Source organism: Homo sapiens, chromosome 1, assembly GCF_000001405.40.
Source record: "Homo sapiens chromosome 1, GRCh38.p14 Primary Assembly".
Lineage (NCBI taxonomy): Eukaryota > Metazoa > Chordata > Mammalia > Primates > Hominidae > Homo > Homo sapiens.
Window position 1 is genome coordinate 36,286,151 of NC_000001.11, and position 16,505 is coordinate 36,302,655.

General features: G+C 44.8%; 1 protein-coding gene across 20 annotated transcripts in view; it reads left to right on the plus strand.

Moving 5' to 3' along the window:
- The window catches only part of THRAP3 (thyroid hormone receptor associated protein 3), a 97,721-nt gene that overhangs the window by 78,514 nt on the left and 2,702 nt on the right, over nt 1-16,505 (plus strand). For 10 of the 20 annotated variants that reach the window (XM_047436227.1, XM_047436226.1, XM_047436215.1 and 7 more), the window contains 8 exons: nt 218-1,120; nt 2,910-3,614; nt 5,224-5,396; nt 6,448-6,559; nt 7,701-7,785; nt 10,433-10,620; nt 14,736-14,934; nt 15,403-15,546. In XM_047436227.1, coding sequence (XP_047292183.1) covers nt 218-1,120; nt 2,910-3,614; nt 5,224-5,396; nt 6,448-6,559; nt 7,701-7,785; nt 10,433-10,620; nt 14,736-14,934; nt 15,403-15,546 — 2,509 coding nt within the window. Of the gene's footprint in view, nt 1-217; nt 1,121-1,326; nt 1,722-2,909; nt 3,615-5,223; nt 5,397-6,447; nt 6,560-7,700; nt 7,786-7,899; nt 8,092-10,432; nt 10,621-14,735; nt 14,935-15,402; nt 15,547-16,505 lie in introns of those variants that run through there. The other 10 variants (XM_047436246.1, XM_047436245.1, XM_047436243.1 and 7 more) reach the window with 3 other exon arrangements.

The window sequence follows — 16,505 nt, forward strand, 5'->3', positions numbered from 1 at the left end:
GTGACCTGTGTTTCATCACTTGTTCAAATGATTCTTATCCATGTTTTTGTACTTAGTAAGGGCCATACGTAGTGGGATTAAATATTTGTGCCCTTGCTTTGAAAACAAAACTGAAAGTGAATGACACATAAGGGCAGGGATTTCAGAACAGATTTTTCTTGAATAAAAATGCTTGTGTCAAAAATTCAAACATTTGTCTCTTTCCTTTCCATTCCAGTTCTAGGTCTCGTTCCAGATCATATTCTCCAGCTCATAACAGAGAAAGAAACCACCCAAGAGTATATCAGAATCGGGATTTCCGAGGTCACAACAGAGGCTATAGAAGGCCCTATTATTTCCGTGGGCGTAACAGAGGCTTTTATCCATGGGGCCAATATAACCGAGGAGGCTATGGAAACTACCGCTCAAATTGGCAGAATTACCGGCAAGCATACAGTCCTCGTCGAGGCCGTTCAAGATCCCGGTCCCCAAAGAGAAGGTCCCCTTCACCAAGGTCCAGGAGCCATTCTAGAAACTCTGATAAGTCGTCTTCTGACCGGTCAAGGCGCTCCTCATCCTCCCGTTCTTCCTCCAACCATAGCCGAGTTGAATCTTCTAAGCGCAAGTCTGCAAAGGAGAAAAAGTCCTCTTCTAAGGATAGCCGGCCATCTCAGGCTGCCGGGGATAACCAGGGAGATGAGGCCAAGGAGCAGACATTCTCTGGAGGCACCTCTCAAGATACAAAAGCATCTGAGAGCTCGAAGCCATGGCCAGATGCCACCTACGGCACTGGTTCTGCATCACGGGCCTCAGCAGTTTCTGAGCTGAGTCCTCGGGAGCGAAGCCCAGCTCTCAAAAGCCCCCTCCAGTCTGTGGTGGTGAGGCGGCGGTCACCCCGTCCTAGCCCCGTGCCAAAACCTAGTCCTCCACTTTCCAGCACATCCCAGATGGGCTCAACTCTGCCGAGTGGTGCCGGGTATCAGTCTGGGACACACCAAGGTCAGTTCGACCATGGTTCTGGGTCCCTGAGTCCATCCAAAAAGAGCCCTGTGGGTAAGAGTCCACCATCCACTGGCTCCACATATGGCTCATCTCAGAAGGAGGAGAGTGCTGCTTCAGGAGGAGCAGCCTATACAAAGAGGCAAGTATCTCATTTCCCCTGCCTGGTTGTGTTTTTATCTCACTAGCTGGCAGTTTAATTGTAATGTGATCTAAGTTAGAGCTCTGATTAATGGTAAAAGGTAATCCCTATTTCCTAGACTTTTCGTTAGTAAACATTAAAAGCATCACCCAAGGAAACCTTTAGGTTAACTCTAGCTTTCCTACCTTCCTGAATTTGTATTGCAGCATAAACTTTCTTTAGACTACTCTGCAATGATGTTTTCACATTTAAAATTTGCCTTGGATTCTACCAATGTAAGCCAAAGAACAGTAGAGATTTGTGGGTCAGCTATCAAAAAAAAGTATGGTCTTTGCCAAAATGAATGGCCATTGGAGCTCTTAGACCCTCTAGCACCCACCATCTACTATGTTCGATCTGCATCAGCCTATCATGGTGAAGAGCTGCACCCTCAATACCCTCCAGTTGAGGAGACTGGGCAGAATGGGAAAGGCCAAGGCATAGTCCAGGAAGGCCTTGTTTTAAAACCACAAGGTGGGTGTATGTCCCAGTAGAAGCCAACACGGCTGCGTGTTAGGAGAGGACATGACAGTGCTTCCGTCTTTCTCCCCTGGGGGACACGGTGAGTTGGAACATGAATCTTTGTTTGTATGGTTGGATGGATTGGGATGGCAGAGAGGTTACAGGGAAGTTGCACTGGGACCAGGTTGTGGTCAAGAGGGACTAACCCAGCAAGTGGCTCCCCCTTTTTTTTTCTTTTATCGTATTTAGCATGTTTTTTGATCCCTTGATTCTTCTTGGCTGTATTAACACGACTTTGACTTGATTAAGCTTTCTGCATTAATGGTACAGATGAGATGTTTTGAATCTGTACTTGCCTTCAGTAAGTCTGTTTTATTTTATTTATTTATTTATTTATTTCAATAGGTTTTTGGGCGAATAGGTGGTGTTTGGTTACATGGATAAGTTTGTTAATGGTGATTTCTGAGGTTTTGGTGCACCCATCACCTGAGCAGTGTACACTGTACCCAGTGTGTAGTTTTTTATCCTTGCCCCCTCCCATCCTTCTCCTTGAGTTCCCAAAGTTCATTATGTCATTCTTATGCCTTTGGGTCCTCATAGTGTAGCTCCCAAGTAAGTCTATTTTAAAACATAAGTTTTGTTCCATGCCAGGACTGTGAATCTCTTTAGAAGACTTGAGCATGAGCTCTGCTTTTCCATAAGAAAGAGAATGATGATTTTTGCTGCTGTCACCCTCTCCCCCATTAACATGTATTTTGTTTTTATTTGTGTTCACAGTATATTTCGTATTTAGATCTTCTAGGTGACTTGAAGCAAATTTGAAGTCTCTTTTTAGACTTGTATTTCCAAATGTGAGTTGTATAAAAGCAAAACAGTCCAAGGTTGAACATTCTATGTTAACTTTGCTGAAAGCAGATTTTAAGTGACTGAGTGAAGGTTGGGTAAGACCTTAAGTTATTTTTTGCCCTAGATCACATTACAGGTAAGTAGGTTTTTGTTTTTGTTTTTGAGTATCCTAAAAATAACTTTTGTTGTTCTCTTTGGTTGCTTTTGTAAGACACAACTCCATGGATCATATATTTTTCTCTTAATTGGCAAGTTCATAGAACTGTGAATGGCAGTTTTCAGAAATTATTACGAAGTAACCGCCTAGAAAGTCCTTTGGTAATACAGGAATCCATAAGACATGTTTTTTTCAGAGAATCAAAAACCAAAAACGGTAAGGCACTATTTTAGAGCATGCTGTTAAGAAGCCTCTTGTGTCTCTCTCTTGTGTTTTTATAAATAGGTATCTAGAAGAGCAGAAGACAGAGAATGGAAAAGATAAGGAACAGAAACAAACAAATACCGATAAAGAAAAAATAAAAGAGAAAGGGAGCTTCTCTGACACAGGCTTGGGTGATGGAAAAATGAAATCTGATTCTTTTGCTCCCAAAACTGATTCTGAGAAGCCTTTTCGGGGCAGTCAGTCTCCCAAAAGGTATAAGCTCCGAGATGACTTTGAGAAGAAGATGGCTGACTTCCACAAGGAGGAGATGGATGATCAAGATAAGGACAAAGCTAAGGGAAGAAAGGAATCTGAGTTTGATGATGAACCCAAATTTATGTCTAAAGTCATAGGTGCAAACAAAAACCAGGAGGAGGAGAAGTCAGGCAAATGGGAGGGCCTGGTATATGCACCTCCAGGGAAGGAAAAGCAGAGAAAAACAGAGGAGCTGGAGGAGGAGTCTTTCCCAGAGAGATCCAAAAAGGAAGATCGGGGCAAGAGAAGCGAAGGTGGGCACAGGGGCTTTGTGCCTGAGAAGAATTTCCGAGTGACTGCTTATAAAGCAGTCCAGGAGAAAAGCTCATCACCTCCCCCAAGAAAGACCTCTGAGAGCCGAGACAAGCTGGGAGCGAAAGGAGATTTTCCCACAGGAAAGTCTTCCTTTTCCATTACTCGAGAGGCACAGGTCAATGTCCGGATGGACTCTTTTGATGAGGACCTCGCACGGTGAGATATGCTCCTTCTTGATCCTCAGTGCTTTAGTGGCCTAAGTGGTGTCGCCTAGCCTTTCTCCCTGGGGACATTCTGCTGTATTCCCCCTTCTGTCTTAAGCTTCAGTGGTGATACTTTCATGTCCACCTGTGTTCACTGGAGAGTATGTGTCACAGAGTGATTGTGTGCTTTTGAAGGGGGGCAGTATCCCTGGGGTGATGAAGTATCTCTTCAGTCCTTAGTGACTGGCTCACTCTCTGTTCATCACTGCACCCCCAAGTCCAATGCTGTTTCTTGTATTTAAGATAGCTTTGCCTGTGAAGCCATCCTGGATCCACTTCTTCGTTCCTAGCTGGGTTGCCAAAGTCTATAGTACGGCCCTTCCCCATCAAATAACGTAGCAATTTTATTGTATTGTATTGTATTTTTGAGATAGTCTCTCTCTCTCTCTTCTTTTTTTTTTTGAGACGGGGTCTCCCTCTGTCACCCAGGCTGGAGTGCAGTGGCGCGATCTCCACTCACCGCAAGCTCCGCCTCCTGGGTTCACGCCATTCTCCTGCCTCAGCCTCCCGAGTAGCTGGGACCACAGGCCTCCACGCCCAGCTAATTTCTTGTATTTTTAGTAGAGATGGGGTTTCACCGTGTTAGCCAGGATGGTCTCGATCTCCTGACCTCGTGATCCGCCCACCTTGGCCTCCCAAAGTGCTGGGATTACAGGCGTGAGCACCGCACCCAGCCCAGAATCTCTCTCTGTCACCCAGGCTGGCGTGCAGTGGTGCACTCTCAACTCACTGCAACCTCTGCTTCTCAGGTTCAAGCGATTCTCCTGCCTTAGCCTCCCCAGTAGTTGGGATTACACGCACCTGCCACCACACCTGGCTAATTTTTGTATTGTTAGTAGAGTCTGGGTTACACCATGTTGGCCAGGCTGATCTTGAACCCCTGACTTCAGGTGATCTGCCTGCCTTAGCCTCCCAAAGTGCTGGGATTACAGGCATGAGCCACCGTGCCTGGCCACAATTTTAGGGTTAAGGAAGGCAATACATCTACCCCTTGTCCCCTGAACTTTAGGAAAGAGTTGGGAGGCCAAGGCTGACTGGTTTTTTACTTGGTGTAAACTACTCAGGCAGCTGGAAGTCTATGTGAACAGCATTCCAGCCACACCCCACTCCCGCTTCATGACATCACCTCCCTGAATGGCCTTGGCTGGTCATGCTAGCTGATCTTTTTATTGATTGATTGATTGAAATGGAGTCTTGAACTCCTGGGCTCAAGTGATGCTCCTGTCTCTGCCTCCCAAAGTGTTGAGATTACAAGTGTGAGCCACTGCACCCAGCTGTAGTTTATCTTTTAAAATACTTTCTCATTTGTTGGGTGTGTTAAAACCAGCAGTGACTAAGGTTTAACACTTCACTCCACTTGAAGATTCCAGTAAGAAAGAGAAGAGAGAGATTTTGTATATACTTTTCCATAGTTACAGTGCACTGAGGGTTACTTTCAACTTCGGTAGGAAGAAAAGAAGTTTATAGATAGATTTAAAACTCTTCAAAAAAGTATTTTTATGGTTTTAATGTTCTTCCTGTGTATTGTGTTCTAATTGGGCCTCCCCATATTTCTTTTTCAGACCCAGTGGCTTATTGGCTCAGGAACGCAAGCTTTGCCGAGATCTAGTCCATAGCAACAAAAAGGAACAGGAGTTTCGTTCCATTTTCCAGCACATACAATCAGCTCAGTCTCAGCGTAGCCCCTCAGAACTGTTTGCCCAACATATAGTGACCATTGTTCACCATGTTAAAGGTGAGTCCAGACCCTGGCCTGCTTCAGGCTCGTGTTCCACACTTAGAAGAAGGATGAATGATGGGTGGATAAGGAGTTTTGGGGGACCTTGTATCTCATCTAAAGGGCCTTTGAAGCTAGGGGCTGGCTTGAAGGAAATTCCATTCAAGAAGCAGTTTCCATATTTTAATTGCAGAGCTTAGCATTTTGAAATGCTAGTAACCTGTGACCAAGAGAACAGGTGAAATCCTTAACACAAAGATTTAAAATGGTTGAAAACTGAGAAGCCAATAGCAAAATGACTTTTCTAGCATCTCTGTCTTCTCCCCTCTAAGTGATCTCTTATGGACCTTCTGGTGTGAATTTCTTCCCCAAAGTATTCTATCATCCCCCTGGGCAAATGGGGTTGGGCAAGTTAGGGAATGACTAAGAGAAGTGATGGAGAAGCTGGGTTGGGCCAGTTGCAGGTTCCATCTGAATATAAACTCAAGCAAGAGTTGGTGCTGTGCTTCTGAGGAGAATAAGCTTCAAGTTTCTCTGTCCTAAGACATGGGAGCTACAGTGGAAATCTAGTGCCCAATATGGGACCGTGTTTGAACCAGCCATTTTTCCTTCCTCTTCTCAGTATGTTTGTTGTGTGGATTTAACTACTTTAGGTGCATCTCTGTGGTTACGGGTTCCTGCAAAAGAGTTAAAACATTGTGTCTGCCTTTGGTAACATAATGTGTTTCTTTGTTTCTTTTTTTTTTTTTTTTTTTTTTTTTGAGACGGAGTCTTGCTCTGTTGCCCAGGCTGGAGTGCAGTGGCGGGATCTCAGCTCACTGCAAATTCGGCCTCCTGGGTTCACGACATTCTTCTGCCTCAGCCTCCGGAGTAGCTGGGACTACAGGCGCCCGCCACCATGCCCACTAGTTTTTTGTATTTTTAGTAGAGACGGGGTTTCACCGTGTTAGCCAGGATGGTCTCGATCTCTTGACCTCGTGATCTGCCCACCTCGGCCTCCGAAAGTGGTGGGATTATAGGCTTGAGCCACCATGCCTGGCCCATAATGTGTTTCTTTTAATCCCAACAGAGCATCACTTTGGGTCCTCAGGAATGACATTACATGAACGCTTTACTAAATACCTAAAGAGAGGAACTGAGCAGGAGGCAGCCAAAAACAAGAAAAGCCCAGAGATACACAGGTAAGGACCATGGCCTTATACTGGAGGTTGTAATAAAAGACTTTGTATCAGACATTAAACTCACCTTGTTAAATTCTGCTGCTAATGCACCTTTAATACAAAATTTACAGTAACATCCTTCAGACTCTAAGAGAGCTATAGGCATTTATATTTGAGAGTGTACAGGACATGCTTTGGGACAACAGTCTCTCACATTGGGCCTGAGGAAAACAGCTCTCTTGACATAGATTAACTCCTATATTCTTGGAAGCTGGCAAATGTTGCCTGAAATTACTGTGAGTTTCTGTAGGTAGAGTAAATGCTAGTTTCTTTTCTTGTCTTTTTTTTTTTTTTTTTTGAGATGGAGTGTTGCTCTGCCACCCAGGCTGGAGTGCAGTGATGCAATCTCGGCTCACTGCAACCTCTGCCTCCCAGGTTCAAGCAATTCTCATGCCTTAGCCTCCCAAGTACCTGGGATTACAAACGTGTGCCACCATGCCCAGCTGATTTTTGTATTTTTAGTAGAGACAGGGTTTCACCATGTTGGCCAGTCTGGTCTTGAACTCTCAACCTCAGGTGACCTGCCCGCCTCAGCCTCCCAAAGTGCTGGGATTACAGGCGTGAGCCACTGCGCCCAGCCTAATGCTAGTTTCTTTAGGTAAGCCTGTATATTAATATTTCATGGTAGTTTAATCATGGGTAGTTGGATTCTTCTGGAAGAATTTGCCTGGGGGCTAGAGGCGGGAGCTTGTAGGATTATCTCACAGAATTTTAAAGCCCAGCAGGTTTAAAGACTATTACATTTGGTTGTGGGAGTCAGTTCAGTGGATAGGGACTAGAAACAAAGTTGGCCTTATCTTTGAGGCTATGGGTGAGTCCATCTTTCTGTGTGTAGCAAAACCAGGAGAGAACAAAAACCTCTAACTTCTGTTACACTGTGGGAACCTGGGACTGTGTGTGTGTGTGTGTGTGTGTGTGTGTGTGTGTGTGTCTGCCTATGGGAGAGTATAAGTATATAAGAGTAAAAGTAATAGATACATAAGTCATGAAACGTAAGGAAAAATAATGCCTGTGAATCTATTAGCCAACTTAAGAGCTAGAATATTACCAGTATCATATTCACACAATGGAATACTATATCGTTTTGTATTTTCAATTTTAGGAGAATAGACATTTCCCCCAGTACATTCAGAAAACATGGTTTGGCTCATGATGAAATGAAAAGTCCCCGGGAACCTGGCTACAAGGTGAACTGTTGATTTGATCAGTAATTCCAACAAAATGAGTGCGTTGGGCATGAACTTGACAGAAATGTGTTTGTTTAAATTACTCTCTACTTAAGTTTGTGTTTTTCTTTTAAGGATGGGCATAATTCTAAAAATGAACTACAAAGGGTTAATTTTTATTAAATGTATCAACAACCTTTGTGAAGTGGTTAGAATATGGTAAATGACCCCAAAGTCTATTGAGGTGAGCTTGAGAAAAAAAAGAGAGGAGTTTTGGAACAAGTGCCCATGATGAGAGAAGAAACTTTTTGTGATATTTTTCTGCTTGTAAGTATTATCAAATCAACTGTATACATGCACTATTTCCAACCATGATTTCAGAAAGACATGCATGTCAGAGAAGAGTGAAATATTCATGTCTTAACTTAAGTAGACTGTTTTTAAACAGCTGGTCCAGTTTTTTTTCCTAACATTGTACCATATCTATCATCTGTCAATTACTGTTACTTTAAAGCTAAAGATTACTTTGATGGCCCAGCTACATTTGCAATGATGTGCACGTAAACACTGTTAAGAGGTTAAAGCTTGTATACAATCTGTTACTGTGAAATAACTAAATTGGGCTTTAAAAAAATCTTAGTATTTATTGATCTTCATTCACATATACAGTTGAAATTTAAAATAACAGATGGTTATTCCAATGCTGCTGAAACCTTTTCTAAAAAATACTTGTTTTGTTGGTTGAATGTGATGAGAGGCGCTTCTGGGCAGTCTCTCTTCTCTCCCACCCGTCTTTCCTCCTCCGAGTACCCCTTCTCCAGCTTTGTACTAGCCATGTAAAACCCAAGGTTTTCTTTAAAACATCAGAAGAGATCTCGTCCTCCATGCCCCAAAAAAGCCAACTCATTGGAGGTGTTACCCCTGGGAGCAGTGTTGCATTTGTCTTTTTGTCTTTTTTTGCTCTTTGGAGGATGCAGAGGCCCAGTTCCCTCTGTTAGGAAACAAATTAAGTGATAAAACAATAAACGGCCGGGCAAGGTGGCTCAAGCCTGTAATCCCAGCACTTTGGGAGGCCGAGGTGGGTGGATCACCTGAGGTCGAGAGTTTGACACCAGCCTGACCTACATGGTGAAACCCCGTCTCTACTAAAAATACAAAATTAGCCGGGTGTGGTAGTGCATGCCTGTAATCCCAGCTACCTGGGAGGCTGAGGCAGGAGAATCACTTGAACCTGGGAGGTGGAGGTTGCAATGAGCCAAGATCCCGCCATTGTACTCCAGCCAGGGCAACAAGAGTGAAACTCTGTCTCAAAAAAAAAAAAGGAAAAAAAAAAAAAAGAATAAACCTAGTTTCTGCCACTCCTGCTGTTAAACTTTTTTTTTTAAAAGTTTAGTAGTTCACATATGTAAACTATTAATGCAGAATGAACTGCTCATTTCTTCCTCCCTGAGTTACCTCCATGAGACAAATCCTAGTGTGGGATGTCCCGGAACTACCATGCACCTTTGCCCCACCGAGTTTCCCAAGAATTGTTGAAAGCCTTTGCTGCAGTGGTCTGAGCAGGTGTGCTGTTGCTGCTGCAAAACATACCTTCATAGCTGAACTGCTTAGGAAGCCAGCAGAGAAGTTTTTTCCTTCCTTCCTTCCTTCCTTCCTTCCTTCCCTCCTCCCTTCCTTCCTCCCTCCCTTCCTTCTTCCCTCCCTTCCTCCCTTTCTCCCTGTTTCTTTGGTTTCTTTCCCCCTTCCCCTTCCTTTCCCTTTCCTTTCACCTGATAATACCAGTTTATGAATTCCCCATAGTTTTTGATATTCCCTTTCTAGAGAAATTTGTCAGTATAACTCAGGGTTTTGAAGGCTGCTTAAGTCTTCCATTGTCTCTCTTTGGACTCAGTACTCAGAGATAATTCCAAGTGGAGGATAAGCCATGGGTGGATACTACAGTATAGGTAGGGGAAGGTGAGCTTTTCTACTCTTAGTGGTGGCTAATCCTGAGCCAGCCCAACCACCTACTTTTCCAGAGCTAATTTTAGCCTTCTCAACTTTTTTTTTTTTTTTTTTTTTTTTTTTTTTTTTTTTTGAGAGATAGTCTTGTTCTATTGGCCAGGATGGAGTGCAGTGGTGCGATCTCAGCTCACTGCAACCTCCACCTCCTGGGTTTAAGCGATTCTTCTGCTTTAGCCTCCCTAGTAGCTGGGATTACAGGCACACGCCACCTTGCTCGGCTGATTTTTGTATTTTTAGTAGAGAACAGGGTTTTGGTTGTTGCCCATGCTGGTCTTGAACTCCTGAGCTCAAGTGATCCGCCTGCCTCGGCCTCCCAAAGTTCTGGGATTACAGGCGTGAGCCACTGCACCTGGCCAGCCTTCTCAACTTCTAAACTAGCCAGAGTCATTACTGGGCCAGAAAGGAAACAAAGTGAGATCAATGCATAGCATTTTCAGAAGGCCAGCATCATTGTTTTGGAGGACTGGCGTGGGTTCTGTGAGGGATCCTTATGGAGTAACTTCTGTGGGACATCCTGCATCCCTTCCAAGCTTGGGTGAGATGCCTCACATTTCCCAGTGCTTCCTCTGCACCCCTCCATTGGAGTAAAAACCACAGTTTGTGGGATGGTTGAGTTGACAGCTCTGAATCCCAGAAACCTTAATTTTGGCTTATCTTTTGATAGGCTGAGGGAAAATACAAAGATGATCCTGTTGATCTCCGCCTTGATATTGAACGTCGTAAAAAACATAAGGAGAGAGATCTTAAACGAGGTAAATCGAGAGAATCAGTGGATTCCCGAGACTCCAGTCACTCAAGGGAAAGGTCAGCTGAAAAAACAGAGAAAACTCATAAAGGATCAAAGAAACAGAAGTACGTAAGCCCCTGTTACCCCTTCCAGACTCTTAAGTTTCTTGTCTGTCCCCTTTGGGCTATACACCAGAACTTTCAAATCAGAGGAGTTTAGGGTTAGTAATTATAGCAACCTGTTTCTTCTTTTAATCCATGTAAATGTCAGGTAGGGTCCCTAGTTTGAAAACAATTTCTACATCAAAATAGTGTGATCTTTGTCCAAAGAAGGCTTCATGAGAGAAGTTAATCTGTTAAATTGACCACAGGGATGGTGTGGAGAATCATTAGAATCATTTGGGAATTCCTTTTGCAGTTTTAGATGTACCTTTTTCATCACACATTTTCATGGGGAAGTTGTATTTTAGAAATGGCCCAAAGTCATTGTCAAGTAATAACACTGTTTAGTCAAAGAAACAGGGTGGAACTAGATAGTACATGATTGTTGATCTTAAGTGCCTTTTAAACTAGTTTTACAGACAGTTCCAAGAGAGGTGTTCCAGGTACTCCTTAAACAAAGGTGGCATTGTTGAACTTTGTGTGGCAACATTCATGCCTATGTCCTGATGTTTCTGTTTACGTTTTTGAATGTTCCATGACTTTTTAATCATGTGTCACGAAAAGTAGCACAGTTGAAGCCCCATACCTTCTGGTAAGAAGCAACACTTCTGCTGATTTTGAACTTTAGCTGGCAAGCATTTTTTTTTTTTTTTTTTTTTTGAGATGGAGTCTTGCTCTGTTGCCTAGGCTAGAGTGCAGTGGCGCAATCTCAGCTCACTGCAACCTCCGCCTCGCGGGTTCAAGCAATTCTCCTGCCTCAGCCTCCTGAGTAGCTGGGATTACAGGTGCCCACTACCACGCCCAGCTAATTTTTTGTATTTAGAGATGGAGTTTCACCATGTTGGCCAGTCTGGTCTTGAACTCCCGACCTCATGATTCACCCACCTCGGCCTCCCAAAGTGCTAGGATTACAGGCATGAGCCACCATGCCTGGCCGCGTTTTTATATCAGTTTTTCATAACCCCTTGAGATAAATTGAACAGTTGGTGTGATATCCATTTTGCCCATTTGAAAGATAAGCCAAGCTTAGAATAATGTGCCTTACGATCACAAGTATTGGCCGGGTGTAGTGGCTCATGCCTGTAATCCCAGCACTTTGGGAGGCCGAGGCAGGAAGATCACGTGGTCAGGAGTTCAAGACCAGCCTGGCCAATATCGTGAAACCCTGTCTCTACTGAAAAAAAAAAAAAATTAGCCGGGCATGGTGGCGTGCGCCTGTAATCCCAGCTACTCGGGAGGCTAAGGCAGGAGAATCGCTTGAACCTGGGAGGAGGAGGTTGCACTGAGCCGAGTTCTCAGCACTGCATTCCAGCCTAGGCGACAGAGTGAGACTTCATCTCAAAAAAAAAAAAAAAAAAAAATCACAAGTATCAGCTGACCTCAAACACGGATCTTTTGTTATACTTTGTCTCCCATTCCAATGTGTTACTTATGCATTAGGAGCCTTGGCAGCTTTTGGGGCCGCCCATAGATAAAGAACCTGCGAATCCTCAGCAGGGAATGGAAGTGGTAGTACAGTAGTGCCTGGGCCGCCACTTAGAAGTGGAACATGAACCCCTCAAGCATTTCAGAGTTGAGTCTGAATTACTAACTCTGATTTCCTCTCCCTGGAACACATGCCTACCTCTGACTTGCGATGTGACTTTGAACAAGTCCCCTGCAAACCCCGGTATTCTGTGATTTATTTATTTTTATTTTTTATTTTTTTGGACGATCTTGCTCTGTCACCCAGGCTGGAGTGCAGTGGCACGATCATAGCTCACGGCATCCTTGAACTCCTGGGTTCAAGTGATCCTCCTGCTTCAGCCTTCCAACTAGGCTGAGCTAGGAGTACAGGTATGCACCATGATGCCCGGCTAATTTTTAAAAATTTTTTGTAGAGACGAGGGCTTGCTATGTTTCCCATGCTGGTCTTGAACTCTTGGCCTCAAGTGATTCCCACCCACCTCCTTGGCCTCCCAAAGCATGGGATTACAGGCATGAGCTACCACACCTGGCCCGTTTTGAGACAGGGTCTTGCTGTGTCGCCCAGGCTGGAGCGCAGTGATGCAATCACTGGCCTACTGTGGCTTTGACCTCCTGGGCTCAAGTGATCTACCCATCTCAGCCTCACAGTCAGCTGGGACTACAGGTGTACACCATCATGCCTGGCTAATTTTGTATTTCTTGTAGAGTTGAGGTTTTGCCATGTTGCCCAGGATGGTCTAGAACTCCTGGGCTCAAGCAATCTGCCTGCCTTGGCCCTCTGAAGTGCTGGGATTACAGGCATGAGCCACTGTGCCCAGCCAGAACTTTTTTTATATAACTGAAGAATGACTTACCCAGGTGACACAGCTAATAAGAGACAATGCTGGCCGGATGCGGTGGCTCACGCCTGTAATCCCAGCACTTTGGGAGGCTGAGGTGGGTGGAGCATGAGGTCAGAAGATTGAGACCATCCTGGCCAACATGGTGAAACCCTGTCTCTACTAAAAATACAAAAATTAGCCGGGCATGGTGGTGGGTGCCTGTAATCCCCACTGCTCAGGAGGCTGAGGCGGGAGAATCGTTTAAACCCAGGAGGTGGAGGTTGCAGTGAGCCGAGATCGCACGACTGCACTCCAGCCTGGCGACAGAGTGAGACTCCATCTCAACAACAACAAAAAAAGACAATGCAAAGACTCAAATTTGAGGCCTTTTGAGAGTCTTTTTTTTTTGTTTTGTTTTGTTTTTGAGGTAGAGTCTCGCTCTGTCACCCAGGCTGGAGTGCAATGATATGATCTCGGCTCACTGCAACCTCTGCCTCCTGGGTTCAAGTGATTCTCCTGTCTCAGCCTCCTGAGTAGCTGGGTAGCTGGGATTACAGATGCTTTCCACCACACCCAGCTAATTTTTGTATTTTTAGTAGAGATGGGGTTTCGCCATGTTGGCCAGGCTGGTCTCGAACTCCTGACCTCAAGTGATCCAGCCGCCTTGGCCTCCCAAAGTGCTGGGATTACAGGAGAGAGCCACTACGCCCGGCCAGAGACTCTTATTTTTGAAAACCTCTTGAAATAGCACGGATGTTTAGTGGGGTCAGAGTTGAAGTTACATGAATCCTATCACAGTAACTTAGATTTCCCCTTTGTATGAATAAGTGTGTGTGGGTGAGGAGCAGGGAGCATGATGCCTTTCATAATGGAAGACTGAGGGAGGGAAGGACAATGATAGGTTACTGACATTTGGCTGGCTCTGCTACTCCTCCACTCCTGGGATCCTGGCCTTGCTGCCCCCTAGAGGTATTCAGTAACCTCCACTATCACATGGCAGGGCTGGTACTGACTTTAGTACATAGATAATGACTCATCGTATTAAGCTAATTTGCCCTAGTCTGTAATTTCCCCTAGATGAAGGAAAGGGAAGGGAAATAACTCTGGGAGAGTTGCGCCAGATCCTAGGCTTAGTCACACAACCTGTTTGAGCTCAGTGGGAGGTAATATGTGGAGTCGTGGTATAATTAGTCAGAGCTAGGTTAGAATCCAGACTCTGCTCGCTTCTCTCACCTGAGCCTCCTACCTGTAAAATGAGGGAAATAATACTGAGTTGTATTGTCCTTTACTGCATGCCAGCTATGTTGGTGTAAAGTGTTTAAACACAGTGTTTATTTAGAGAACCCTGTAAGACAGGTAGCATTCCTGTAAGAAATAAAAGTAATAGAACGCACTAACAGATGATAATATACAAAGCTATTTATCTGGCCCAGTACCAGATACTTTGGAGCTCTCAATATAGTGTTAATTTCCTTCTCCCTTATTAATTCATGCCTGTATCTTAGACTGAGCTCCTGGAGGCCATGGACTGTGTTTTGTTCCTGCTTCTATGTATGTCATATGTTTATCACAGACTCAGACATAGATGTGTCACTGAACATGACTGACAGAATTGAGAGGAAGTATCTTGGGTGGGTAGGTTGGGGGTGAGCTGGCTTTATAAGGTTACTCATCATCAGTTTCTTCCATCACAGGCATACTTTTGATTGCCCTGTGCTTATCCATGAGGCCCCAGCCAAGCAGTGTCCCTTAGAAAGATGATTGATCACCCTGGCTCTTCTCTTTTCACAGGAAGCATCGGAGAGCAAGAGACAGGTCCAGATCCTCCTCCTCTTCCTCCCAGTCATCTCACTCCTACAAAGCAGAAGAGTACACTGAAGAGACAGAGGAAAGAGAGGAGAGCACCACGGGCTTTGACAAATCAAGACTGGGGACCAAAGACTTTGTGGGTCCAAGTGAAAGAGGAGGTGGCAGAGCTCGAGGAACCTTTGTAAGACCTTCCCCTCTCCCCCTTTCTCTGAGACCCTTGCTCCTACCAGCTTTGATCACGTTTCATCAGAATACCAGTTTTGTTGCCTTTGACATAAGTAATCCAATCCAAAGACCCTGGAATCTTTGGTTCTCCTTCCCACATTTCCTGGCCTTTCCATTTTTTGTTACTTTTCTGTTCATAATCACTTAGCTAGAAAGCCTCTTATGGCTTCTGGTCTCAGAACTTCCCCCACTTAACCTTGACTACTGCTGTTTATAGGGAGGCCCTTGGGGCAGGTTTGTCCTCTGTGTAGGCTGCAGACTTGAGATGAGCAGAAAGGGAATGGCTGGAAACCAGCTGACCAGCATATGACTGGAAGACAGCTGTCTATTCCACACCAGAAAAATGTTTGAACAAAAAGCAGGGGGGTTTGTTCCCCATTCCTGGCATGATCCTTTGTTCTTTTTCCCTCATTTATTGCAATAGCAGTTTCGAGCCAGAGGAAGAGGCTGGGGCAGAGGCAACTACTCTGGGAACAATAACAACAACAGCAACAACGATTTTCAAAAAAGAAACCGGGAAGAGGAGTGGGACCCAGAGTACACACCCAAAAGCAAGAAGTATTACTTGGTATGTGTCTGGGGATAACCAGGAAGGGTTAGAGGGCCTTTGACACACAGAGTAGCTGATACCAAGCCTTAATTAGTTTGTCCAAAACTGCGATTAAATGTACGTGCAGGATTATTGCACTGGGGCATGTGTACTTGCATAGTGCTAACTAGATGGGTGTCCTCTAGAGAGGCAGTCCTGGTCTTCAAAGGGTTTATCACTGAAGATGTTTGTGGATTCCAAGATAAGCAAGAAGCATTGGTCTTGTCTTTTTAGTCTATGAACTTGTTTTACTGCTCACCCACCACCAACCTCAGCCTCCCTCATTTCTGTGGATACAGCCATAACCCTTCCCTGATGCCGCTGTCCCTCTCTGCCACTCCTTCATGCAAGAATGACAAGAAAGACCGCTCAGGATCTCTTTGAGGAAAGGGATGTCTCTCCAAAATGAAATGCCAGTGGGGCTTCTCTCATCTAGGCTGTTGATCATTCCTGTGCACTCTGGGCCTCCCTCAGATTAATACTTTTATAGGCTGAAGTACCTGGCCTTGAGTGAGCTCTCTTGGCCTTGATCTGTAACAGCAGACTAAGATCCAAGCTGGTGTGAGTGTTATAACTAAGGTAAAGGAGCAGCTGAATCTCCATCACTTGCCAAAATGGCTGGAATGGATCTGTATTGTCAGTTGGACAGCTAGGAAACAGGTTGTGTGTGGATGGCTATGCGTGGCCACCATCCCTTTTCTAGGGTTGCTGCTGCTGGAAGCTGCTTTGAGGCTACTAGAGGACCTTTGAACTTATCTCTAGGGAATTGTAGTTGGCTGGGCCCGGGTTAGGTGCTGGAGTGGGACTGCTGTAGGGAAAAGATTAAAGGCCCTCTCCCTTGCTCCTATCTGCCACCTGAGAGAGTATTGCCAGCCTGATTCGTTTAGTGTGAACAAGCAGCCATGGTCAGAAGAAGCTGACACCTGCTGAGCTGAGCT